A 27,506-nucleotide genomic window follows, 5' to 3' on the forward strand; every position below is an offset into this window, starting at 1 on the left:
ATGGGAAGGTTGGGATGGGAGTGGCCAGGGAGAATGAAACAAGAATAGAGTGGGAAGGAGTACAGGGATTTCACACGGGGCTACCCTAGTCTTTTTTCTTTTCATTATAGCCCAACGGCACTGTTTAACACTTTTTTTTTTAAGTTAACATTTATTTCATACCTTCTAGGTCCTAACTGGAAAAACTGATGTGATGATGTAGGCTTTTCTTTAACCTCAGTGATGTGGTTGATATGACAAAAATCTATTCGGGTCAGAAGAGTGGTCTTTCTCACATAACACATTCTAGGTTTGTTCCTTCCATGACCTGGTCTGAAGGTGTGGTGGCTTTGGGCTTTGTGAGCCGAGGTAAAACTTGAGAACCACTGAGAGCTTTCTCAAAGCCCGGATGTGAAAATTTTTTTCCCCCCTGCACCATAAATAGGCAAGGAGTGAGCTTCAGAATATGAAAATCAAGATCTCTCTCTCTTTTTTTTTTTTTTTTTCCTGAGATGGAGTTTCACTCTTGTTGCCCAGGCTGGAGTGCCAGGGGCATGATCTCAGCTCATTGCAACCTCTGCCTCCTGGGTTCAAGCGATTCTCCTGCCTCAGCCTCCCAAGTAGCTGGGATTACAAGCACCCTGATTCTAAGAAGATCATTCCTCCTAAGGTCTCTTTTTAATGGGAGGAATTATCTTCTTAGAATCAGGGAAGTAAGAAATTCTCATTGATTGGTGTGCCATTCATAAGCAACGGAACAAAAAGGCCAAGAGCGTTATCTTTAGAGCAGTCTCTGCAGACTGCCTGCATCTAACACCTAGCTGTACTTTTCTTTTTTGAGGTATGTTTCCTTACCTTTATTTATTTACATATTTATTCCTTTATTTTTGTTTGACATGTCATAATTGTACATATTTATGGAATGCAGAATGATATTTCTGTGCATGTATACAACATGTAACGATCAAATCAGGGTAATTAGCATATCCATTACCTCAAACATTGATCATTTCTTTGTGTTGTGAACATTAAAAATCCTCTCTTGTAGCTTTTTGAAAATATACACTAAATTATTGTTAACCATATTCAGCATATAGTGTTACAAAGCCCTAGAACTTATTCCATCTAGCTGTAACTTTGTGTGTATTAACCAACCTCTCCCTGTCTTCCCCCTCCCCTCCCCTTTCCAGCTTTTAATACCAACAGTTCTACTCTCTATTTCTATGAGCTCAATTTATTTTAGCTCCTAGATATGAGTCAGAACATGAAGTATTTGTCTTTCTGTGCCTGACTTATTTCACTTAACATAATGTCCTCCAGGCTCATCTGTGTTGTTGCAAATGACAGGATTTCATTCTTTTTCTTTTTTTTTTTTTTAAATAGAGATGGGGTCTTGCCATGTTGCTCAGGCTGGTCTTGAACTCCTGAGCTCAAGTTCACCCACCTCGGCCCCAAAGTGCTGGGGATCACAGACGTGAGTCATTGTGCCCGGCCTATTTCATTCTTTTTAATAACTGAATAGTATTCCATCATGTATACATATACCACATTTTCTTTATTCAGTCATCTGTTGATGGACATTTAGGTTGATTCCATATCTTGGCTATTGTGAACAGCTAGTTCTGTATCTTTATAGCTGAGTGACTATAGGTGATTTTCTTAAATTCTCTCAGCCTCATTTTCTCCCTTCTATGAAATAGGGATAACAGTGGTACTTCCTGCACAGGTTTATTAAAAAGCAGTGAAGCCTGGGAGAGTTCCTGGAACATAGGAAGCTTTCAAAAAGTGTTACCTCTTATGAGATTCCCAAGGGATATGAATATAAAGTGCGGTTGTAGTCAGCAAGCAAGTTGCTCTTGTCACTAGAGATCTTGCATTCACGGATACTTTGTTAAAACTTTTGGGATTAGTAGCAAATGATATATCCTTCATTTTAGGTTATAGAAGAATGGCTCAAAGACAGGTGTACCAACACTCTTCTGTTTTCCTTTCTCCTTGCTTCCGGATCTGAGGATGAGCAAGAATATCAACACCAATTGTTGACTTAACCTCTCTAACTGTTATAATAAGTTCCTTGAATTTCCCACTGTTTCTTTCTTTTTTTCTATGTAGGCTTATATGAATTATGGCATACTTGATTTATATAACTGATATGTTGCTAAAAAGTTACAAGAATATAGTTCCTTTGATAAATTAATATCAGTGCCATTTATTGGAATTCTGTGGTGAAACATTCTTTAAAAACAGGCAATATTAGGGAAAAAAGCTCTAACTTTTTTTGGGGGGGATAAATCTGAATTTTCATATATCATTGTAGCTTGAAATGGAATGCAATTAAACTAATTTCTTCTTTCCCAAAGTCAGTGATGTTCGAGCATGTTGATATTATAATAGGTGTTGATGACAGGATCTTCATGATTTGCAAAATAGCCTCTCACTTTGTAAGAGACATCAATTCTCTATGCTTGTGAGTGGCTTAGGAAATACTATAGTTCACTCTGTTATATGTGTTAATTAAGGGAATATGAAAAAAAACCCTGATAACAGTGATGTGTTAGGTGAGTTGAAATACAGGTAAGCCTATACTACCTTTGTTAGTGTCAGCAAAACCCAGGAGGAAAAATATTTATGCTAATGAGAGGCAAAGTGATGCATGGATAATTAAAATCAGCAGGAATTTTGAGAACGTTGTTTTAACTTGTAATTGCAATCTCTCCCTCTCCATACCTTATTTGTAAGAGCTCTAACGAAGTAGTGCTTTTTGATTAGTAGTACCAATGACTCAAAAGTTTTAAAGGCAGTAGCAAAAGATAAGATTGGACAAGAAGCAAAAAACAAAAAAAAAACAAAAAACAAAAATAACAAAAAAGAATGATCAACTCTAGTCAAAATAAGATCTAATTTAGGATTTATTTGAATAGACCCCAAATAAAGCAACATTTAGCTTCCTGAATGTGTCTGTTATGTGAATGTGGCTGGGTTTTGGTGAACCTGTTGTAGCGTGTGTAGGTTATAAAAAATTTCAGAATTCCAATTTCTTCATAAAATAAAGATAATGTAACTTTACTTACAGGCTTTTTTCTCTGCCAAGCACTAAGTCAATACATACAAATCAGTGATCACAGTACCTGGCACATAGCAGGTCTTCAGTATCTGCTTTACTTCTTTCCCTTCCCCTGAGGTAGGATATGAACATTTGAAATAGACCTAGCCTTGTCAGGCATAATAAGAAAGATATAACATCAGAGTTTAAAAAAAAATAGCTGAACTTTTGGTTGGCACACTTTTGCTTATATTGATGACTAAACAGATAAACTGGTAGAGGGTAGAGAAACTTGAAGTTCAAATGAGTATTTGTTGAAGAGAAATCAAAATCATAAGCATAGTATCTAAGATATGATGTCAGTTAGGAAACAATTTAATCTTGTGGCATCTGCAGGAAAAAAAGAAAATAAAGAAACAATTTAAATTACAAACATTCCACCTTAGCATTGCTTTTCAGCAGTTTCTTTGTTTGAATATAACAATTTGTTTATCTTTTGAACACCCTTAACATTTTCGATCATTTAACCTCAATTAGAAACATTCTTCAGGTTCTTGAACTAAGGAGGATCTGTGGGTTTGAAATCAGTGTAACTCTTCCTGAACGTTGATGTAGCTGTAGCTGAAACTATCACATGACACATTTATTTGCTTGCTTGCTTTTTTTTTTTTTTTTTTTTTTTTACCAGATTGCTTTTAACTTTGTAAGTCAATTCAGGCTACTAGACTTTCTTGTTCTCCCAGAGTAAACAATATTCTATCTGCAGAGGCATTTTGCACAGGTTTGTAAGCAATCTTTCCACTCCCCTCCCCGACTTTTTTTTTGAGACAGTGTCTCACTGTGTCACCCAGGCTGGAGTGCAGTGGCGGGATCTCGGCTCACTGCAACCTCTGCCTCCCGGGTTCAAGCAATTCTTCTTGCCTCAGCCCCCCAACTAGCTGGGATTACAGTCGCCTGCCACCACGGCCGGCTAATTTTTGTATTTTTTAGTAGAGATGGGGTTTCGCCATGTTGGCCAGGCTGGTCTTGAACGCCTGACCTAGGGTGATCCGCCCGCCTCGGCCTCCCAAAGAGCCGGGATTACAGGCGTGAGCCCAGTCCCAATCTTTCTCTTTAAAAAAAACCTTAGGAAATGCTATAAAAACGAATGTTCCTAAATAGTCTTTGTTTTTTTTCCTGTACCTGTTGATGGCAGAATAATGTTGCTTTTTAAAAATTCTTTCCTTGATGGCCAGTTGAGGTGGCTCATGCCTGTAATCCCAGCACTTTGGGAGGCTGAGGCAGGTGGATCACCTGAAGTCAGAAGTTCGAGACCAGCTTGGCCAACATGGCAAAGCCCCATCTCTACTAAAAATACAAAAATTAGCCGGGCATGGTGGTGGATGCCTATAATCCCAGCTACTCAGGAGGCTGAGACAGGAGAATTGCTTGAACCTGGGAGGTGGAGGTTGTAGTGAGCCGAGATCGCACCACTGCACTCCAGCCTGGGCAACACAGTGAGACTGCATCTCAAAACAAACAAATAAACAAACAAAAACAAAACCCAATTCTTTCCTTGAGCATAACTGAAACTCTGTACCCCTTGTTCAACATCTGCTCACCCACCCTCTGCTTACCACTATTTTACTCTCTGCTTCTATGAGTTCGACTATTTTAACTCTCATGTATAAGTGAGATCATACAGTATTTGTCTTTCAGTGTCTGGCTTATTTCACTTAGCATAATGTCCTCCAGGGCTATCCATGTTGTCAGCAATGTCAGGACTTCCTTCTTCTTCTTTAAGGCTGAATAATATACCATTTTATGTTTATACTACATTTCTTTATTCATCCATCTGTTTAGGTTGTTTCCATATCTTGGCTGTTGTGAATACATTCTGCATAGGATATCTAACACTGTAGTTCCCACCTAAATGTTAAAATCAAATAAAATGGCCATTTCTGATGGTGGAAGAAGGAACTCATGGTTGAGTCATAAGCTACCTGTTTTGCTTAAAGAGCCATCAGCGTTATGTCAAATGTGAAGGTAGAAATGTCTCTGCACCATGGCTTTCTAGGGCTTGCATTTGATGATCTGTCCTTCTGAGGTGTTGTCTGTATGGATTTATTTCCTAATTTTTATTTTTGTAAATGATCATGCCTCATCCATTCATAGTCCATTCTCTATTGTGTATGGACTGTATGCAATGTAGGCGAGTTGTAAATCTTGGGTTGTAAAACTAAGCACATGTCAAACTTGTGTATTAATTGAAGTAAGCTAATTGGTATAATAACCAATCCTCAAAGCTCAGTGGCTTATCATAATGCACGTTTATTTGTTGCTCACATTACAGTTCAGTGTGGATAGGTGGGGAACCTATTTCCTGCAATTACCCAGGAACCTATGTCTCTTTATTCTAGTGGGTCTGCCATGCTATAGGGGTCTCACCCTACTGGATCATTTCTACTCCACTGTATGGGAGTGTTCTCTGGAAGAAAAGAAAAAGTTTTGTTAAGCATTTAGCCATTACATATGTGTCTTGAATTTAGTTTCTAATCTGGTGGACAAATGAGCTATATTTCTTTTGATGAGAATTTTATTGTTAGGGTTATGCCAAAGACTGTATCATTCATTTGCCTCTCTTATTTAGAACCCTTTGCATGGATTCCTGGAAGAACTGTTTTTCTCTTAGAAATATAACTAAATTTGTGGGAATGTGTCTGATATCTAAAGCTTGATGAGGATTCTGAATAATCTGTATTTTAGATAAGGCCAGTTGAAACTATTCTTAACTACTCTATATGGTTAACTGTTTTTTCAGAGACATGTTTCATCAAAGCACTAAAATTATGCAGACAGAGCTGGAAATGTTCTCTGAAGAGCATCCTATCATCTTCCTTATAATTTTGGTTTTTATTTAACACTTAGCCCCCAAAGTGGGGCCATGGCAATATCTTTGAGTTATAACTCACATCAGGCCTTCGAGGAGTTTGTGATGCTATTTTGTTGCTGGCATACAAAATCAGTGAGGTTAACTGTACTTCTATAGGTCACTCAGTGAGTCAACGACTGAGCTATGATTAACGTTGACAGCTGGTGAGCTGCTAGGCTGTTGCTAACTGAGCAACATTGACATTCATTTTGATTTGACTTTGCATTTCATTTTCAACTATCTATTCATTTTAAGGCCTCTTTAAAAACTTTTTAGGGATGTTGTAGACGGAGGAAACTTTCTATAAATGCTTTGGGGAGAGTCCTTTAGCTTCCCTCTCCCCATTCCCCATCCTTCAGCTTAATAGTTAAATTATGTTTATGCTAGGAAAGCATCTTCTAGGTAGTTTTAGAAATAGATGATTTAAATAGAAGTTAGGCGATTCCAATTTTGCTTTATTTGTTTTGTAATTTGTGATTTCAACAAAGAATTTCTGTAAACTAATTGTACAATAGTGAGTACCAACTAGAAAAATCATATTTATATTTGATGAAATAATTCACAGAGAAATGATGAGTATGCATTATAAATTTGGCCAAAATGTATTTTTGAACATAGGTTAAAGTGTAGCTGAAGGCCATCTAGATTATAAAGCTTGGAACCGGCTGGTTGGCTCAGTTGGGCATCATTTTATTCACCTGAGAGGGATGGGGAAAGAGTGAGCCCTCTTTAACTTCTGGATCTACTTCCAGATGCTTTAGGGAGTTTATTAAGAAAAAGTGCTGGCTGGGTGCATTGGCTCATGCCTGTAATCCCAGCACTTTAGGATGCCAAGGCGGGCAGATCACCTGCGGTCAGGAGCTTGAGGCCAGCTTGACCAATGTGGCAAAACCCCACCTCTACTAAAAATACAAAAATTAGCCAGGTGTGGTGGCGGGGGGCGCCTGTAATCCCAGCTACTGGGGAGGCTAAGGCAGGAGAATCGCACAAACCCAGGAGGTGGAAGTTGTGCTTTGGAGCTAAGGTCATGCCACTGCACTCCAGCCTGGGCAACATGGTGAGACTCTGTCTCAAATTTAAAAAAAAAAAGTGCTATTTCATAGAATTCTGTGTGACAACTTAACTGCCCAATGTGGTTGGCTTTAGGTGAGGCAGATGCCCTAGGACTTCTGATCTCACTAACTGCCATCAACAGTTCTGCACTGCTGATGCCAGAAAGGCAGGCAGATCTAGAGGCCCAAGTGACCTATACATATAGGCAAAGATGACCTAGCAGAGCTGAGGACATGAGATTTGGAGTCAAACCTGGGATCAAATTTTGATTCTTCGAATTACTTGCTCAAGGGATAACTAAAGATTTCCTCACTGGTCAAAAGATTCCTCCTTTCTATGGAAAGTGTGAGTGACACCTAAGGAGCTAATGTTAGGGGTGTGAGCTGGCAGCTTCTAGGCAACTAATGGTTCTATTTCTTCTTCCTTCTCTATCTACCCCAACCTCAGACTTACTCTCCAGGTTCTCTGACTTTCAGTGAGCCATCAGAGTTGAAAAGCAAGCATATATTCTGTTTTAAAAATATTTGAAAACCTATCTCCCAAATCTCAGCTCATATAGTCAATTACGTTGTTAACTTATTTGAAGTACATATATTCAGACAGAGCCAAGGGGTTTTCCTCAATTTTTAGCTATAAAAAGTTTGATAATTTAAGTGTTTGGATATTTTCTAATTGCTATTAAAAGAACTTCTGTGTGATTTCTCAAAGGAATCACAGTCACTTAAAATCTGGACAGTACCTTCAAGGGGAACTAGACCTTCATTCTCAGCTACCCCAGAAGGATGGGCTCCTTTTTTTTTCTTTTGTGTGGACCCCAGTGGAGATGACAGTGTAACCATTGGCAACTCTATCTACAGAGTGATCATGAATCCCTCACCGAATATGTTTACACTGAGAAATGTTGCTTACTCTCATGTAAGTGCAGGAAAAAAAATGTCAGTTTTTAGAATCACAAAGTGATTCAGGAAGTGAATAAAGGCCTTTAAAACATCTTAAGATTCACTGTGAGGAGATGCTTGTTGGATTTTCCTTTTAGGAATATATAAATATGGTTAGTCTTTTTTAGTGACAAAAAGCAGGAAGCAGTTTCCCTTAAATCTTACGATTCCATCGATCGACTCATATATTATGGGAGAGAGTGACGGTTGCAGTCTGAGGTGATTTGCATGAGACCCTACTTTATACTCCAATTATTACTGTACATGATTACAGGACAACCTGGTTGTTAATTGCCTGTGGTCTTTAAATATGCACTTCTTTCAGAAATAGACACTAATTATTAGATCTTGTTTTTGGTCTCACCCGAAGTTGTAAATGTCTAGGATTTTTTTTTTTTTAATTTGCAAGTCTAATGATATACAGACATAGTAAAACTGATCTCATTCTGAATCCTGTTCAGGGTGAACGTTCTCTGGGATGTAAACTATCAAAGATTGTGAACTTGGCTTTCAGTTCTTTGTAGGTGTTCATGTGAGTCTCTTGACAAAACCTGTATGTTTGCTATCAGAATGCTGAAGGAATTTTATCTTTCTAAAATATAGATGAAAATTGGTAAACAAGTTGAAAAAAATCTACTTCTCCCATAATTAAATATAATAGAAATAACATCAAAGTATTATTACATATTAGATATTCTCCCAATTCCACCAAGATAAAAATTTTGTGTTTGGGAGCTGTGGTTGGAATTATGCTAGGAAAAAGGCAGTTTGTTTTGTGTGTTGGGCTCTCCTCTTTTCTGGCTTCAATGGCTGAATTAGGGAATTGATCCTGAATTTGATAGAGCTGCAGTTGTTCCTGTCTTTAAGCCAAGGTTGGTGAACTCATGTGTCTACAGGGGATAGAGTGATGAGGTACAAGTGTGAAGCCAGTGAGCAGGAATCCTGGACTAACAAGAGTGCACAAGCCTTGCCTAAGGATGGCAGCTGCTACTCAGTTTTAGCAGATTTATCTCAGATAGAAATTCTGATTTAGATGTGAAATATAGCAATTTAAAAATATTGGATGTATGATTTGGTTTTTAAGAAAGTAGTGTGCTAAGCAGAGAAAACATTCTAGTGCGACTTCTAGTTTTAACACATGCTCTTCCCACTTCCTTTCCTGGTTTTTGTCACCCAGCTAATGCCTATTACTTTTTCTCTACTTGATTTAGCTGCATGTTCCAAGAAGCCTTCTTGGGTCTGTATAAGAGGTGCCTCCTGTGGCTCTTGTAGCCTCTTTTCTATGCCTATATCCACTTTTAAACAATGTTATAATTGCTTCTTTATCTTTTTGTTTTGTTCCCTGGGCTATAGAATCCTTGAAGGCCTCCACAAAATACTGATTGGATGAATAAGTTTGATGAATAAATGATGGTGGGCCCAGGGTTTCCTCAGGACATAGAGTTTTTTCCTTCCTTCTTCCTTCCTTCCTTCCTTCCTTCCTTCCTTCCTTCCTCCCTCCCTCCCTCCCTCCCTCCCTCGCTCCCTTCTCTTCGTCCCTTCCCTCCTCTCCCCTCCGCTCCCCTTCCTTCCTCCCCTCCCTCTTCCCTCTTTCCTGTTTCCTCCCCTCCCCTCCCTTCCTTCTTCCCTCCCTTCCTTCCTTCCTTCCCCTCCCCTCCCCTCCTTCCTTCACTACCCTCCTTCCTTCTCTCCCCTCCCCTCCTTTCTTCCCTCCCACTACCCCCTCTCCCTGACGCAGGGTTTCGGTCTCCCAGTTAATATAGGGCCTATGGCCATTCCAAGGCTTCTCCTAGAACCTCCAGATCAATCCTTCAATAAAATCTGTATCCCAAATTCCTGTGTAATCAAACTGCCTTAGAAAGGAGGGTGAACAAAGGGAGGGCAGGTCTAGGAAGATTTGGAACCCAAAGCCCTCTTGTCTTAAAGTGTGTTGTTACCTGTTTTATTCTTGCTGCTTTTCTCCTTTTTATTTCCCCTCAATCAACATATTCTAGGAAAGGTAGAGTGCAGATGTGTTTTTGTGACTCAAAACCATATGAAGCCAAAATGAGTCTTTTTCCTGTCATAATTATAAGTAGGGCCTTAGGCTGTGTTTACTGCCTCTAAAATAAACGTGGTACTTAGCTTCTCAGTTGCAACACTTCCCAGCTTTTATGGAAAAAAAAAAAAAACAAAAATAAAATGTTATTTTAAAAAGTAGTGTCAGAAAGTAAATAAATTACCCTTAATAGTGCTGTATGTTTTAAAAAAATATTTTGGAGGGACTGTTCAGTAAAACCTTCAAAACAAAACTATACCAAACAAACTACTTTCTAGATTTGGCAGCTGGTCATATCTCACTCTATTATAACTAGTCAGTCTACTTTTTAAATTTTTTTCTCAAATTATGTGTGGTGTCAGAGTGGTATAGTAGTGTAACACCTAGTCTCTGTTGCCAGGCTAAGTTCAGTTTTCAGCTCTACCATGAACCCGCTGTGTACTTAGGGACCAATTGCTTAACTTCTGTATGTCTCAGATAGTTCTGTAAAATGAAGATCTTAGTAGTACCTAACTCATAAAGTTATTGTGAGGATTAAATGAGTAGAAAAAAAGCAAAACCCTTAAAATAATGTCTGGCACATAAATGCTCTTTACATAATTCACTTATTTTTTGTTAAGTCAAGTGTATTGAGGTATAATTTGTAGTATAAAGTGCAGTAAAATTTACCCTTTATAATTTACAATTCTATGAGTTTTGATAAGTTTATAAAATTTACCCTTTATAATTTACAATTCTATGAGTTTTGATACAGTTATGTAATGAGCACTGTGATCAAGCTGTAGAACATTCCTATCAGCCTCACCATTCTTTCATGCCCTTTGTAGTCAGTCCTTGTACCCCCATTCCCAGACCCTGGCAACCACTGATCTGTTTTCAGATTCTGTGCTTTGCTTGTACAGAACATGATATAAACAGAAGCACTGGAATCATGTAGTATGTAGACTTCTGAATCTGGCTTCTTTTGCTTAGTACAGGGATTAGTAGACTTTTCTGTAAAGAGGCAGAGAGTAAATGTTTAAGGCTTGCAGTCCATATAGTCTCTGATGCAACTATTCAGCTCTGCTATTATAGTCATGGACAACACATAAATGATTGGATGTGGCTATCTTCCAGTGAAACTTTGTTTACAACAACAGGGAGCAGCCAGATTTGGGCTGAAGACCATAATTTGCTGACCCCTGATTTAGCATATTGCATTTGAAGTTCATTCGTGTTGCTGTGTGTAGCAGTAGCTTGTTCTCTTTTATTTCCGTTTATTATTCCATTGCTTACACAGTTTGTTTAGTCATTCACCAGGTAAAGGATGTTTTAGTTTTTTTTTCCAGTTGAGGACGATTATGAATAAAGCCATTGTAAATTTTTGCCTACAGGCTTCTGTATGAACACAGATTTTCATTTCTTTTGGGTAACTATCCAGGAGAGGGATTGCTTGGTTGTGTAGTGTGTGTTTACCTTTATAAGACACTCCTGGCCAGGCACGGTGGCTCACACCTGTAATCCCAGCACTTTGGGAGCCCGAGGCTGGTGGATCACGAGGGCAGGAGTTCAAGACCAGCCTGGCCAAGATAGTGAAACCTGTCACTACTAAAACTATAAAAATTAGCCAGGCGTGGTGGCAGGCACCTGTAATCCCAGCTACTCAGGAGGCTGAGGCAGGAGAATCGCTTGAACCCGGGTGACAGAGGTTGGAGTGAGCCGAGATTGTGCCACTGCACTCCAGCCTGAGTGACAGAGTGAGACTCCATCTAAAAAAAAAAAAAAAGACACTCCCAAACTGTTTTCCAAAATAGCTGTATAATTTTGCATTTCTGTAAGCAGTGTAAGAGAGTTTCAATTGTGTTGCATTCTCACCACCACTTGGTATTCCCTCCCTACCTTTTTTTTTTTTTTTTTTTTTTTTTGAGACAGAATATCCTCTGTCACCTAGGCTGGAGTGCAGTGGTGTGATCTCGGCTCACTGCAGCCTCCTTCTCCTGGATTCAAGAGATTCTCCTATCTCAGCCTCCTGAGTAGCTGGAACTATAGGCGTGTGCCACCATGCCCGGCTAATTTTTGTATTTTTAGTAGAGATGGGTTTTGACACATTGGCCAGGCTGATCTTGAACTCCTGACCTCAGGTGATCCTCCTGCTTTGGTCTCCCAAAGTGCTGGGAGTGAGCCACTGCACCTGGCCTTTTTTTTTTTTTTTCTTTTTTTTAAATTTTAACCATTGTAAAAGACCATGAAGATTCTTGGAAACCTGAATAAAGCTATATTCAGTTGGAAGCTCTTGAAGGGTTTTATACATGGAAATGACATTATTTGGGTTTTTAAATGATCACTCCGGTTGTAATATAGAAAATGATATGGAAGGAGGCTGGGTAAATGTGTGAAGGCCTTTGGGAGAATATCATGTTAGTATAGGGGAGAGGGAAGATACCTTGATTTGAGAGGTAGCAGTGGAGATGAAGTGACTAGATATGGAAATGTTTTAGAAGATGGAACTGATAAACTCAGTGATTGAGCAGATATAGGACTTAAGAGACGGGGAGCTCTCAAGGTTGTTTCCACATTTCTGGCACCAGCAACTACATTTATAATGACACCCTTACTGAGATGAGGAACATTGACAGAGAAAAAGGTTTGAGAAGATAAAGTAATTGGGTCAATTTTGAGATATATGTAAGACATCCAAATGGAGGTCTCAAGTAGGCAGTGTGAGATCTGGGTTCCTGAATGGTGGAACAAAATTAGAAATTATTGTGGTATAAAGGATATTTGATGATATGGGGTACATAAGATTTTCTCTCTCTCTCTTACTGTCTGTTGAGTTTAGTGATTTGAGGAGAGTGAATTGGATAGACCTAAGAGGAAATTTGGTGTTTAATTTTGGGCAGTAGAGTGACTCACAAAGGAAGCTAAGAGAGAGTGGTTCAAAGAGGCTGGAGAGAGAGAGAGTTGTCCCCCAGATGCCCAGGTGAGTGAACAATCATTTGTGCATTTATTGGATTTGGTGGCATAGTTGGCATTTAGTCAGTTTTGTGGTTGTTGGTAGTGGTTGGATGTATGTGAAAATTCAAATTAGGGTGAGTGTGAGGAGTAAGGAGTGAGGCAGTAGAAAAAAAACAAGATTTACAGGTCTATCGGGAATTTTTAGGATAGTTGTTAGAGATACATGTAAGAGGTGTTTATTATTGTTGAGACTGAGATAGGTTAGAGCTTGGTGATGAGAAGGACAAGGGAGGGAGTGAATATAGGAGAAACTGTTGTTAATGGAATGAGATCCTCACACACTAGTGATGCCTTTCAGATCCAGCAAACTTGATGAAGGGAAAACTCAGTCAAGATTAATGTTCACAGTTAGAGTAGAATAGAGGACTTTTAGTATTACCAAGTTCTAATGAACTATATCATAATATGGTCTTTAAACTTATTTCTCAAGTATTTCTCGAAAACTTACCAAGCAGAAAATGTCAGCAATCTTTCTGATGTGTGAAAATGCTCTGGCGGTTTAGTCACTTGTCAGTCTCATGTCCAAGTCCTACCCATCTGTCCTGGCGCAATTGAAACCCTCAAATGAAAGACTCTCCCTCCCTCATCTGAATGGCCATAGCCTGGTGTTTTTTTCCCTCTAGGGTGGCATTTATTCTTTCTATGTACTTGTTATATATATGTATGTGTGTGTGTGTGTGTGTGTGTGTGTGTGTGTATAATTTTTTTCCTCATTAGATGGAAGGCAAAGACCATAATTGAAATATGTTAATGTTCTCTGTAGTACCTACTGGTTACATTTATTTAGTTAACAAACTAAATGTATATAAAGGTAAAAAATAGGGACATGGTTATTAGCAGATAATTAAAAGAAGCTATATGAAAAATAAGATTTTTGTGGTTTGGTGTCAGAATTTGTAGCCTGATAATAAGTTTTTGTTTTTATGAAATTTAGTAAAACATGTTTTGAAAGTTCCTAATCATATGTGACTAAAAGATCAAATTATTTAACAGAGTGATAACAGCAACAACTCTGGTGGTTACTTTGTCATTTACCAGTGACTTTCAGATTATTATTCCATTCAGACTGAGGATAATCCAAAGATACAAGGAGAAATCACAGGGATTTTTGTCACCATTTTACAAGTGAAGAAACCAGAGATAATGAGTCAACAGTTACATTGCTGGTAACCAGGTGCTAAATCCCAGGCTGGGATCTTCTGATCCTAATGTGGGTTTCTTTCAGTTTACCCAATGGCTTCTAGATTTACTTTCATAGAAATCCAATTGGCCTGATAATAATTAAATGCAACTGCAGGGGGTAAGTGGGTTTCCTTTATTTGAATGAATTTAAAAAATCACTTATTTTGGGTGATTAGGATAATCTCTTGGTAACGCCTGAGATTACCTCCTCTTGCACATGCTTTGGCCTGTTGGCCTAGAGCTTCAAATGGGGCTCCTGCAGCAGAATGGGAAAAACACCACCATCATGGATTGCAATGATGCTGTGATTTGAAGAAAAGAAAATGGAAGTCACATATCTGTGGAATACTAATAGAGCAATGCTGGCCAGTACTGTTTGCTATAGTGAACAAACCTAGTATTAGCATTTTGGAAAAAAACCAAACACCATTTTCCTGGGTTTCTGACTCTGCCTTCTGGCAACTACTTATTTTTAAAGTCCAGGATCATTTTTTATTTAGGATGAAAAGCTACATTCTTTAAGAAACTAGAAATATGGAAGGTCATTATTTTTTAGGAGGACTATGTCAGGGCCTTTAATTATATTATTGTTGAAGTTTCATAAAAACTGTAATAATGGGCTGGGTGCAGTGGCTCATGCCTGTAATCTCAGCAGTTTGGAAGGCCGAGGCAGATGGATTGCTTGATTGATTCTAGGAGTTCGAGACCACGCTGGGCAACATGGTGAAACCCCATCTCTTCAAAAAATACGAAAATCAGCCAGGCTTGGTGGCGCACACCTGTAGTCCCAGCTACTCTGTAGGCTGAGGTGGCAGATTCACCTGAACGTGGGGAGGATGAGGTTGCAGTAAGCTGTGATAGTGCCACCGCACCCCAGGCTGGGCAACAGAATGAAGCCCCATATCAAAAAAATCCAACAAACTGTAATGGTATATTTATATTACTTTCAATGTATAGAATCTATGGTTTTATATTAAAATATTTAGTATGGAAGTCTTTGACTAAATTTTTCTGAAAAATATAATTCTCATTAAACATAGCTCATTATTTAGTACCTTCTGTTAAATAAATTCTTTTTAATTGTACTGACTTTAACTTATGTACCCCCAAACTCTAGAATATAGTTTTGTCAGGAGAACTGAGGAATGAAGAATGTATACTTCTGAGAAAGTGTGGAAAGACATGAAGTCCTTTTTCCTCCTCCTTCACCACTTTAATATGTCATCTGAATGAATTGCTAGTACTGGGTAAAAAAATCTCCTTATGTTCCCTTATAAATTGCCTTAGATAAGGTATTTGGGAATTGCTATACAGTGTTGTGAATAATTGAACTTGGCTGTATATGAAGCAGTTGAGACATTGAATCTGAAACCAGGTGTCCTATGGCTAAATAGTTGTGATTCATGAAAAGAAATACACCGAGAAATGTAAGGATTGTTTTCCCCCAAGGCAGTTGGTCCTATAACTCTATGTGGACTGTGGACTCTCTTTAGCTCTTATATTCCTTATTTCTATTAGAAATTTCCTTTTAGTATATTGTAAAATTTGTTAAATTGACATTCCAAATGGACAACTGAAAGTGATCTGCTTTTACATCAGATGAACCTGGCCTATGTTAAAGCAGCAGACTGCATTTCAGAACCAGTTAACAGGGAGCCTCCTTCCAGAGAAGCTCAGCTACTGACTTTGCAAAACACATCTGAATTTGATATCCTTGTTATTGGAGGAGGAGCAACAGGAAGTGGCTGTGCGCTAGATGCTGTCACCAGAGGTAAGTCTTTTTTTTTTTTATTTTAATTTTAAGTTCTGGGGTACATGTGCAGGATGTGCAGGTTTGTTACATAGGTAAGTGTGTGCCATGGTGGTTTGCTGCACCTATCAACCCATCACCTAGGTACAAGCTCAGCATGCATTAGCTATTTATCCTGATGCTCTCCCTCCCCCTGCCCCACCCCAAAGGCCCCAGTGTGTGTTGTTCCCCTCCATGTGTCCATGTGTTCCCATTGTTCAGCTCAGAGGTAAGTCTTGATGTGGATAACACTTCATCCTTTCTCCCAGTAAATACACAATATGCAGTCTATAGTAGTGAGGACACATTTCTCTCTTGTTTCCAGATTTTCCATCCTTAATGAAGCACCTTCACAGTTTTTGAAATATAGGCACTGCACAACTTTAAAATGAAATATAACTCATTTCACTTCAATGAATTTGTTTAAAAAGAAAACTATATTTTATGAGTTTATATTTTATGAGTTTATTAATTTGTTCTGGTTTTTTTTAAAGCACATATTTATATTTATATAAAATAAAAACATTTTTATATCACTTGAAATCACATATCAGTCAATGGTAGAAAAATTTATTAAGCTGAAGTAATTTATTAAAATAATTATCTTTGTTCATGTATCTCTTAAAATCATCTCTTCAGTGAAATATGGACTGCAGTTTGCGAAACTTTAGTTCATGCGAATAAATAATGGAAAATATCACTAATCTATAGTTCTGTCTCAGTCATTCTGTCTATTAGTGGAAAGGCATGATGAAAATGGAAACGAGACATGTAATGAAAGAAATTTTAGTATAGAACACCAATGCTCTTGGATATGTTGTGTTTAATAAAATACTATGTTTGTTTTGGCTGTGGGTATTAGCGTGGAATTTGGAGTCAGGGAAATCTGGGTACTTATCCTGGCTTAACTTCTTTAACAGATGTGTATGTGTTGGTGGACGGGGGGCAAAGCACTTAATTTGTCTAAGGTTCCTTGTCTTTCAAATGAGGAAAAAATACCTTCTCTGAATGATTGTTGTGAGAGTTACATGTTAATCATGAAGAGACTTAGAACGGTGCTTGTCACACAAAGTAGCAGCTCAGTAAATTATAGATAGTATTATAGCTACTATTACTAACATGAATGTAAAAGACTTTCAGAACCAATTGTCTTGGAGAAGGACTCCACTGTGGTATCCTCAGATGTCTCGAATTGGGTAGGATACTGCTGCAAGGAATTTTGACTGTGGAATATTTTGGTTGCTATATAAAGTTCAATATTTATTATATTTTAACACTGAATGGGAATGATTTATTAGATGGAATAATTCTTCTCAGATCAATTAAATTACTACTGCAGCCACTCTTGATTTAGTTACTTTATGTACCTGGCAGAATCTACTCTTATGGAAATGAAATGAATTTAATGAGGTCTACACACACACACACAAAAGTACCCTAGATGACTGATTTCACAGGATCCACACTCAGGTTTTGGTCCATGCAGACCTCACAGCCTAAGTTGTTTTTGTCAATGCTAAATAATGGCAAGTTCAAAATACAGGCACAGGAAGTCTACTCTGTTACAAAGTTGACCCCAATTTTCATAAAATTTTCTGTCTCCAACCATGAAATATAATTTGAGCCAGATTAACCTTGATACACTAAGGCCTAAAGGAAGAACAGTTTGAGAATAGTTTTTGAGAATAGATAATTTGAATTCAGCTTTTTTCCCCTTGAAGGCCTGGGAAAGAAGGTGGAAAGAGGGGACACATTCCCAACATAATGGGAGGTCTTGTTTGGAACTACCCCTCCAAGAAATTAGAATTTACTAGGTGATAATTTTGTATATCAAAGAGGATCATTTCCCCAGTAGGATTCAGGAAAGTGTATTTCTTGGTATCTGCAGGCATTTTCATGCTATGCACTAAAATATGTAGCCATTCTTTTTATTTTAGTTTTACAAATATATGCTGAGTGCCTGCTGTCTGCATGGCGATATGCAAGGTGCTACAATGAGCATACAAAGATGATAGAGTTGGTACCGTTAGTGTGCCCACAGTTCTATAGTGCTTGTTTGCACAGACCACATTACATGATAGAGAATATGTGAGCCTTTTAAAAGGCTCAGGGCCATTACGGACACTGAAACATGAGGGTAGTCATATCTACATAGAATGGTCAGGAGTGGGAAACTTTACTTATGCTGTTTGGCATAGGTAACATTTTAATAGGCAAACATTGCTTGCTCAAAGTGTTCCAGTCTGAGAAAATGTGCAGGAGGAACAGCGTGGAATCAGTGTATGTGGGAGACAGCATGTGTTGTAATTTGGAGCATTGAGGCTATATATGAGAGAACACATGAGAGAAGAGTGGAAAGGCAGGGCTGGGTCTGGTATGCTAGGGGAAAGCCTTTGGGCTTTATTGAATAGATCACTTGGAGATACTGCCTTAGGTTTGGTGATGGGGAATGGATACACGATACTGAAGGAACAGTCATAAGCATAGGCTTTCAAGAGATGTGGAGAAAAAGAAAATAGAAAGGAGGTAACTTGATGGTGTGGTAGGATATAAAGAAGGGAGACAGTATGTTTCACGGATTTTTTTCCTTTTTTCTTTTTATAAAGATAAGAGTAATCTGAATATTTCTGTAGACTCAGGGGAGAAAAGTCAGTGCTAGGGGAGAAGAACCTTAATATGCAAGTATTAGGTTGTCATTACTTTTAAATGTCATGTACCAACCTAATAGTAGAAGGCAAACATAAGGAACAAGGTCTTGTGAAAATACAAGGAAAGAGATATCAGAGATGTATCTTGGTTTTAGCAGGAAGGTAAGAGACTTGTTTCTCAGGGATAGAAACAAAGGGTAAATTCTAAGACATAAAGAGTTTGTGTGAGTATGAAGAGCTACTCTTAAACAAATACGAGGTGAGATGTTCTACTTATGGGTGGGAGTAAGGGATGTCATTGCAGAGAATGTGACAGGAAAATAGGGGTTTCTTTGCTGTTAGAAAATTTTAATTTATTATCCACATGAGACATTTATGTGTGTATATATGTGTGTGTTTGTGTGTCCAGTATTACTGAGAGTAGAGGTACAGAAAATAGAAAGTCACATAGAATCTGGAGTTGAGAACTGAGTGGATATCAATGATGAAAAGAAAAAATGAGACAAGATTCTATGAAAACAGAGGAAATTGTTGAAATGTAGGCCTGGAGCTGATAAGGGGTCATGAAGTTACAAAGCCAGGCTTCCCTGGAAGAGTTAAAGGTCAGATTGCAAGACTTCAAGTGCAGTAATAATAAGGCAATCACTAAGTGACTTTTATTCTTTTTCACCTTCTGAAAAGTCTTACTATATTTGCCTTTGTGCACTTTGTATATTTATAGTTTTTAAAAAAATAGACAAGATTGTATTTCTTTTTTGCAGTGTGTTTCTTTCAAATAGTAGTGTGTTTATATCAATCTTTACATTTATATAGTATTCATGATTTTTAATGGGAAAATTCCATTTTATTTATTTTCATTTAATAACTTTATGGAAAAACTCATTGCAATGATGTTCTTATTAATTATTCTTTAGGTTGTTTTTGGGTGGTTTTTTTTTTTTCTATTTAAAACAATGCTATTTGTCAATCAAGTTCTGAACCAGCTCTGAGAATAGTAAGACTAGTAAGATGTGGCCTTGATTTCAAGGAACAACTTAGCAGTTTATTACTATTTATTGAACAAATAAACTTTTTCTTCTGGCAGTGAAGGGCATTCTGTAGTGATCAAGGTATTAGCTAGTATATTAGCAGATGATTGTGGGTGATGATAGTTGTGGTGGTGATGATAAGGATGACAATTTTGAATAGTTAAGAGTTTCCAGAGCCTGAAAGTTGATCAGGTTTTTAATTTTTACAGTTAACAGTAGCTAAGAAAACGATGTATTTTTAATATATCTTGGCATATTAATTGTGGTCTTAAAATAATTGCCTGTCTTATTTTATATATGTGGAATTATGATTTATAAAAAGGATGGGCAAACTTTAGCTTGTATTTCTCTTATTATGCTGGTAGCCCTCTGGGAGTAGCATTTATAATTAAAATTTATAAAGAGATGGCTGAAGGTAATCTATATTTATCCTTTTACTACAATTCCTGATCATATCAGTGGCCCTCTGAAGTGTGAAATAATCATGGGCATTTGGTTAATGAATTGTGCATTGTTGCTGTTCATTCATGGAATTTGCTCTTTTATCATATTTGATGCTTCACTTAACAACAAATTTTGCTTTCTCTGCATTTGATATGTTTTTACCAAATTATTCCTGATTGTATCCATTAATCTTTAGTCACATTTGACAAAAATAAATTACTGTGATCTTTTAAAGTTACCAGTAATAATTAGATTTTTCAGGACATCAAAGTTTTGGGGGGAACCACTAGATGTTAAAGGACTTGTACAAAAATGTTTGCATGAGCTTTTTGATAAAATACTGTGCCCAAATGCAATTTTAGTAATGGATAAACAAAGACTATAGAGGACAGACAAAAAGTCATGGAGTCTTCATAATGAACATTTATTTGCATTCTTATCATCTGCATTTTCTTGGGAATCAATTTTCATTTGTTTCATTTGGGAATATTATTTTATAAACACAATATGCAGACTTCTCCTCACGTTCTCCTGCAGGTCTCTAGGATCAATAGAAATTGCTTCACTCTTTAACACCTCTGTGTCCCGTTCTAGGACAGAAGCATGTCCCAAAAGCCCAGTTGTGGGCACTTTGCTCCCAAAGGAAGCTGGAAAAGGAGAATCTGTTAAATATATTCACTCCCACAGGTTCTTCAAGGTGTTCTCTTTAGCTTTTTATGTTCTTTTATGTAACTTTACCTGTATGTATCTGGGATTATCTAGTACATTTTTGGTTTAAAATCTGATGTATTTGCATTCTTGGTGGGCCTGTAGAAAATAAAATAAGATCTGATGTATAAAATTTAACCTTTATGTCTTCAGTTCAAATTCCAGAGAAGACTGCCTCTTTCTGGAGGAAAATATTAATTGTAGTTCTCTTGTTTACAAATGGAGACTTTTATAAATGGTATTTGGCTAGCAATTCTTGAATTCCCACTATAATTCCTAAGGCAGTATAGCGCAGTGATTAAGGACACATATTATGGAATTAGAATGAACTTGGGTCATGTCTTGGCTTCATTGCTTACTACCTCTGTGACCTTCGACAAGTGGCTTAACCTTACAGAGAGCCTTAAGTTTCTCAGGCATAAATGGAGGATAATAATAACATTCTTCTCTATAAATAAACATTTGGGAAAGGAAGGAGATGTGTGCATTGTAGGATAAATGCAGAAAAGGGAGAGCCTTGGAGATAGTGCATTCTGAGAATTATGGTCTCCACCCATCCACCATGAAGGTAGGAGAAAATTCTACTTCAGAAGGTAGAATTGCAGGAAGTAAAAGTTTGCTCTTTGCTGGACACAGCTAATTAGACTAGATTGCAAATTTCTCTTAAAATTAATCTGGAGATTTAACATAATTTTAATTAATGTAGTGCTTTCCTTTGGCCAGGGTCAGCGGAATCGACTTAAGAAACTGTAAAACTTTAAGAAGAGAACTACGCCTGTGAGATTTACTAGACTGATTTTGAAAAAGACTACTGATAAGGGAAGTAGAGACCTATCAGATACTAAAGTGTATTCTAAAACTACTGTAATTAAAATAATCTGGTAAAGGAACAGAGAATCAGTCATGGAGTCTATAAATTAGTCTATCAGTCTTTAAATACATGAAGTTTAGAATATGGTAAAGGCAGCATTTCAAAACTGTCATCATTAGTTACTTAATAAATGATGTTGGGGTATCCACTCCCCCCGATTTATATATATGCATGTGTGTGTGTGTGTGTGTGTCTGTGTATGTATGCATGCATATATATTCTGTTTTATCATATTCCATGTGAATCAAGGATGTAACTTTAAAACATCATAAAACTATTAGAAGCAGGTATATGTAAATTTTTTTTAAAAATTGGGTAGGAAAGGTGTTTTTAAGTATGACAGCAAAAAGCCATAAAGGAAAAGCCTGCTTTTGATTTTATAAAAATTAAAATGTATCCATGGCAAAAGATGTAAAAGCAAAAAGGTGAAATTTGGGAAATATTTACAAAATAGCAAACAGACAGGGTTTATCTCAGGTTTTTATTTCAAGTTTTGTTTTGTTTTGTTTTTGGAGACAGAGTCTCACTCTATTACCCAGGCTGGAGTGCAGTGGCTCCATCATAGCTCACTGCAGACTCAACCTCCTGGGTTCAAGAGACCCTACCACCTCAGCCTCCTGAGTAGCTGGATCTAAAAGTGTGTGCCACCAGGCCTGATGAGTTTTTAAATTTTTTGTAGAGATGAGGTCTTGCTGCATTGCCAGGCTGGTCTAGAACTCCTGAGATCAAGTGGTTCTCCCACCTTGGCCTCCCAAAGTGTTGGGATTACAGGCAGGAGCCTCTGTGCCTGGCCATTCTGCACTTTTCTAAATCCTTTTGTTATGTTATATCTGTGATAAATAGTATATAGCTAGATTATATTTATTTGTTTTATTTCTTTTTACACTTAATAGACTATGTCTTTTAATCAGTAAATGGAATCCATTTACATTTTTTTTATTCCATGTGCATTTGCTTTGTATTTTTTTTAATCTTTCATGCTTTTTATTTTGCTTCTTTTCCCCCTTTTCTGCCCTTATTAGATCAGTTTTGTTTCATGCTCTTTTTCCATACCCTCAACTCTGTAAGTATAGTAATGACCATGAGAGACTTTTCTTGGAACCAAAAGACTCCTGCCCTTGTTGATTTTGGGGACCTTGCAGACTAGCTGCTGAGACAAGTGGTGCCTTGGCTGTGGTGCTGGTGCCAAGGCTGTGTCTGTCTTTCTGCTTCCTGGGCCCAGAGAGTGGTCAAGAGAAGCTTGTCAACCTCCTTGCACAAGAGGCAGAGACTTTCTTCAGTCCCAGCAATCAAATGCTCCTCTGGCTTTTTTACCTTTCCTTGTAATGGATATTTATATTCCTCTTACCCTTTTGGAACTGAGATCTTGATTGCCTTTGCCCATTTTTAGACCTTGAACCTAGCAAGAGAGAAGCTTTTGGTCTAAACATTCTGCTCTGAGTTTCTGTTACATTTCAAGTCCATTGAGTTTTAATCTTATTTTTGAGTCAATTATGTCCTTTAAAATATATGCATATATAATTTTCTGTGTTTTTAAGAAGAAGAAGAGTTCAAAGCTGAGCTTACAATGTCATACGGGTCAGAATTTTATTTATAACAATATTTATAATGGCAAAAAATTGGAGTCTGGCTTAATAAATTGGATATTCAGTTATTGAAAAGAGATAGATGTATAAGTATTTACAGGGAAAATGGCTAAGATGTGTTACAAATTTTAAAAAAGCAAGTTGTGAAGAATGAGTGCTAATTTTTATTTGTTTTTAAAGCGAGATGGTATCAGATAGTGTTCTTTAGTAAGCATAAAAAAGTTTCTGATAAAATATATAAGACAGTTTTAATAGTTAACATTGTTTACCTGTGGATTTTGTAACTAGGAAACCAGGAGGCCATTAGTATAGTTTTTTACATCATTATCTTTTTTTGCCTTTCTATATTATTTGGATATTCTTCCTCTCTTTGAACATTGGGTATGTTTGATAATACCAAAGTAAAAATAAAACGCAACAGCAGCAACTCCCTTATTCCTCAAAATTGTGTTATTGCAATTGTTACAGCCTAGTACAGTTTTGTGACTCCATAATCATGTGTGTACTTAACAAACATTAAAGTATGTTAATGATGTGTTCTAACAACATCATATCTCTATTAATCTGTTTTCTAATATATCTGTTTTCTAATATAAACATAGAAATAAATAACCAACTCAATATCATATATTTATATAAAATGCTAATATTCACTTTTGGAAAATACCAGGCCAAAGCATTGTATCGTGATCGTGAGGATTAACAAGTCAGGATTACTTTGCAGCTTTACAAGAGGATAATATTTTAGAGGAATTGATCCTTCCCATAAAATGTTCAGCCTTCGGGTTAGTCCCTTTTCTTATTAATGGCAATGGCTGTCTGAAATCCAAAGTTAAGTGCCCAAAGCTTTTCTAAAGAAAGATAAACTCACCTTTAAAAAAAAAAACTATATTATTTTTCCTACATGCAGCATGTGGCTTTAATACCTGTTCTTATGGTGCTAACATACAAAGCATCTTAAATTTTTTGATTTTTTGTGCTATTATCTTGGTGTCTCTGATACTTATTTCAGAGTGATTATTCTCACCTTTCTATTTAGAAATATCTTAATAGTGACATTTCTTAAAATTTGTTCTAATGATATAATTAAAGATACAAGGAGTTTAAATGAAAATATAATCTTGCAGCACTATCTGTAATAGTGAAACAATGGGATAATCCAAATATTCAAAAATAAGAAATTGAATAAATTATTAAAATTAATAGAATATTATCCACATGTTAAAAATGAAATTATAGAAAAATATTTATTGACATGGGTAAGTGTTTACAATAAACAGTGTTAAATGAAAAAAATTAAATCAAATATACCATATGATCCTATTTTTACAAAAATGTACATATGTGATTATATACATGCATAGAAAATGTGAACGTTTAAATACCCAAATGTCAACTGTGGTTATCTCTGAGTGGTGTGATTACAGGAGAGTTTTATTTTATTCTCTTTGCTTATCTGCATTTATTATATTGAGCATGTTTTCATGCATAATAAGATAATCAGTAAAAGGTATTAAAATATACTTCTGTTCTATTTCATGTTGTGAAAGTTAAATGTCGTACCATTTTTCCTCTTAGATTGTAATTATCCTTCTATATTCATCCAACTGTTTTGATCCATGAATTGGTTTAGTTGGAAGTAATTAGAAATTCTCACTCAGGTCAGAAAAGACAAAGCTGTAAAGAGCTGTGTTAGTTCATAACTCTTGCCCCACCTAGAAGATACAATTTCAGTTTGCTAACAGATGAGATGATAAATGGAATATAGATTTCAAGTTGACTTTATTCTTCTACTCTAACTAATCTTGTTATTCTGCCTAAGATTTCAGGTAATGTTACTCCAAATATTAGTATTTTATTACTGTCGCAAAATTCCCCAGACTACCTACTAAAAGTAATCAATAATAAAAACAAAGCCTTAAATAATGATACTACCACTCCCACTAAATGTTCTGTTTCATCTTAATAGAGATACAGCTTATTGCTTTCCATAAAAAGTAGCTGCTAACAAGAAAAAAGAAAAAGAAAAACAAACTTACTATAAAATCTTGAACTAATTTAGTGAATTACCTTCACTACATAGAGAGGCCAGCCCTTCCCTGCCTGTAATGTAAGGAGGTCACTCTTTCTACTTTGAGGGAAGATCTCTCCCCAGCCTCCTCAAATCCATAGTAAGGAGTAGTTTCTTGAATCCTGGGTGCATTATTTTTTATGCCCTTCAGGCTTAATTATTTTACCTAAGAACACAAAATGCTAGCATTGAATATCACTTAATACTATTCACTATCTGAGAAGATAAAACACCTCCCTCTTTTCACTTCCTTGCTTTATACTTAACATACCAGAAAACTGAACTCTTAATTTGATTTCAGTAATTTTTGAGGTGAGGAAACAATTTGGATTTTTGAGAATTGAAACAGAAAGGGACAGATTAGATAACAGAACCACAGAAGAACCTCAAAAGGCTTTTAAAAATGTTATTGTCTTCATTGCAGTTGGTTGGTTGGTTAATTAGTTAAGAAATAGTTGAGTTGCAGCTATGACTTCTAATAATGTCTTGATTTTATTTTCCTCCTTTCTACTTCTCATTCAACAAAAATGAGAGATTTAAAACATTTAGCATATAATAGCAGTTGAAAATTAAAGAAAATTTTTAGAGTTTTTTGTGGTTTGGAAAACTTTCAGTAATACTTTTATGTTACATGGCATTTTAATATATCAATTTAGCTATAACTTTGGAAACTAAAATTTTAAGTTTTTGCTCTGGAAGGAGCAGTATCGTTTCTTTCCAGAAATTCTGGTGGGTAACTTGATAATTTGACACTAGAAATAATGGGACAAGAAAAACAGCCTGGTTTGACAGAGAGGCCCATTTTAACTTTTGTTGGTATTCACTAGGGTTTCTCACATAAGTACATGTGATAACTTTTAAAATGTCCAATACTGGAAAAAGCAGTTTTGAGAGCTTTAAAGTGTTAGCTCTCACTTAAATATCCTGAAATATCCTCCTGAGATGGCTTGCTAATTCCTAGAGTAGTTCCCTGCCTCACACTCTGTCAATTTGGGAAATTAAAAAAAAAAAAAATCCATCCTGACAACACAGCCCATAAAATTTTCTCTTTATATCACCCTTCAATACCATCTCTGCCTTCTGAGGCCGGATTCTTCATTGCCCCAACTCCTGTTATATGACACTGGTCCTCCAAAAGGTCTCCTGCCTCCAGTCCTACCTCTACCCCTCATTCCTGCAGTCAGATTAATCTTTTCTGAACCTTAATCTGATTTCTCAGCTGAAAACATTTTGATAGTTCTCCTGACAGTCAGCATAATAGTATTTCTCAAAACAATATCTGAGGACTTCTAGAAAAAATTTAAATGTTATTCCTTTTTTATAATAATAAATTAACAAGCACACCCTGGTTCCCCAGAATGGATAGCTTGTAACTGTGTAAAATACTAAAAATACTAATATTAGTGCTTGCCTGTGCATGCTACATCTTTTTTTTTTTTCTTGAGACGGAGTCTCACTGTATCACCTAGGCTGGAGTGCAATGGCACGATCTCGGCTCACTGCAACCTCCGCCTCCTGGGTTCAAGCGATTCTCCTGCCTCAGCCTCCTGAGTAGCTGGGATTACAGGCATGCACCACCGTGCCTGACAAATTTTTTTTTTAAGTAGAGATGGGGTTTTGCCAGGTTGACCAGGCTGGTCTTGAACTCCTGACCTCAAGTGATCCTCCCACCCCTCCCAAAGTGCTGGGATTACAGTCATGAGCCACTGTGCCCAGCCACTTTTTCTTTTTCTTTTCTTTTTTTTTTTTTGAGATAGGGTCTCATTCTGTCATTCAGGCTGAAGTGCAGCAGTGCAATCTTGGCTCACTGCAACTTCTGTCTTTTGGGCTCAAGCCGATTCTCCCACCTCAGCCTCCCAAGTAGCTGAGAAAACAGGCACATGCCACTATGCCCGGCTAATTTTTGTATTTTTTGGTTGATACAGGATTTTGTCATGATGTCTAGGCTGGTCTTGAACTCCTGGGCTCAAGTGATCATCCTCCCGCCTTGGCTTCCAAAGTGCTAGGATTATGTGAGCCACTCACACCTGGCCACATCTTGTTTTTTTCTGATGAAACATTTGTTTCTTAAACTGATCCAGGACACATAGCTGTGTTCTCAGAGGCATCTTCCTTTTGAGGAGATCCAGATATTACTTACTTGTGAGAAACAGTGGTTAACAGGACAAGATCCAAATACCTGAATGTGTAAGAAGAGCCCTCTGAGATCTGCCTTGCCCATTC

The 27,506-nt window shown here is 37.0% G+C and overlaps 1 protein-coding gene across 9 annotated transcripts in view; it reads left to right on the forward strand.

Moving 5' to 3' along the window:
- GPD2 (glycerol-3-phosphate dehydrogenase 2) overlaps positions 1 to 27,506 on the forward strand; it is a 186,123-nt gene that overhangs the window by 80,026 nt on the left and 78,591 nt on the right. For 8 of the 9 annotated variants that reach the window (XM_047443963.1, XM_011510977.3, NM_001083112.3 and 5 more), the window contains exon 3: positions 15,738 to 15,909. In XM_047443963.1, coding sequence (XP_047299919.1) covers positions 15,738 to 15,909 — 172 coding nt within the window. Of the gene's footprint in view, positions 1 to 12,163; positions 15,068 to 15,255; positions 15,386 to 15,737; positions 15,910 to 27,506 lie in introns of those variants that run through there. The other variant, XM_047443965.1, reaches the window with a different exon arrangement.

This window comes from Homo sapiens, chromosome 2 (genome assembly GCF_000001405.40).
Source record: "Homo sapiens chromosome 2, GRCh38.p14 Primary Assembly".
NCBI lineage: Eukaryota > Metazoa > Chordata > Mammalia > Primates > Hominidae > Homo > Homo sapiens.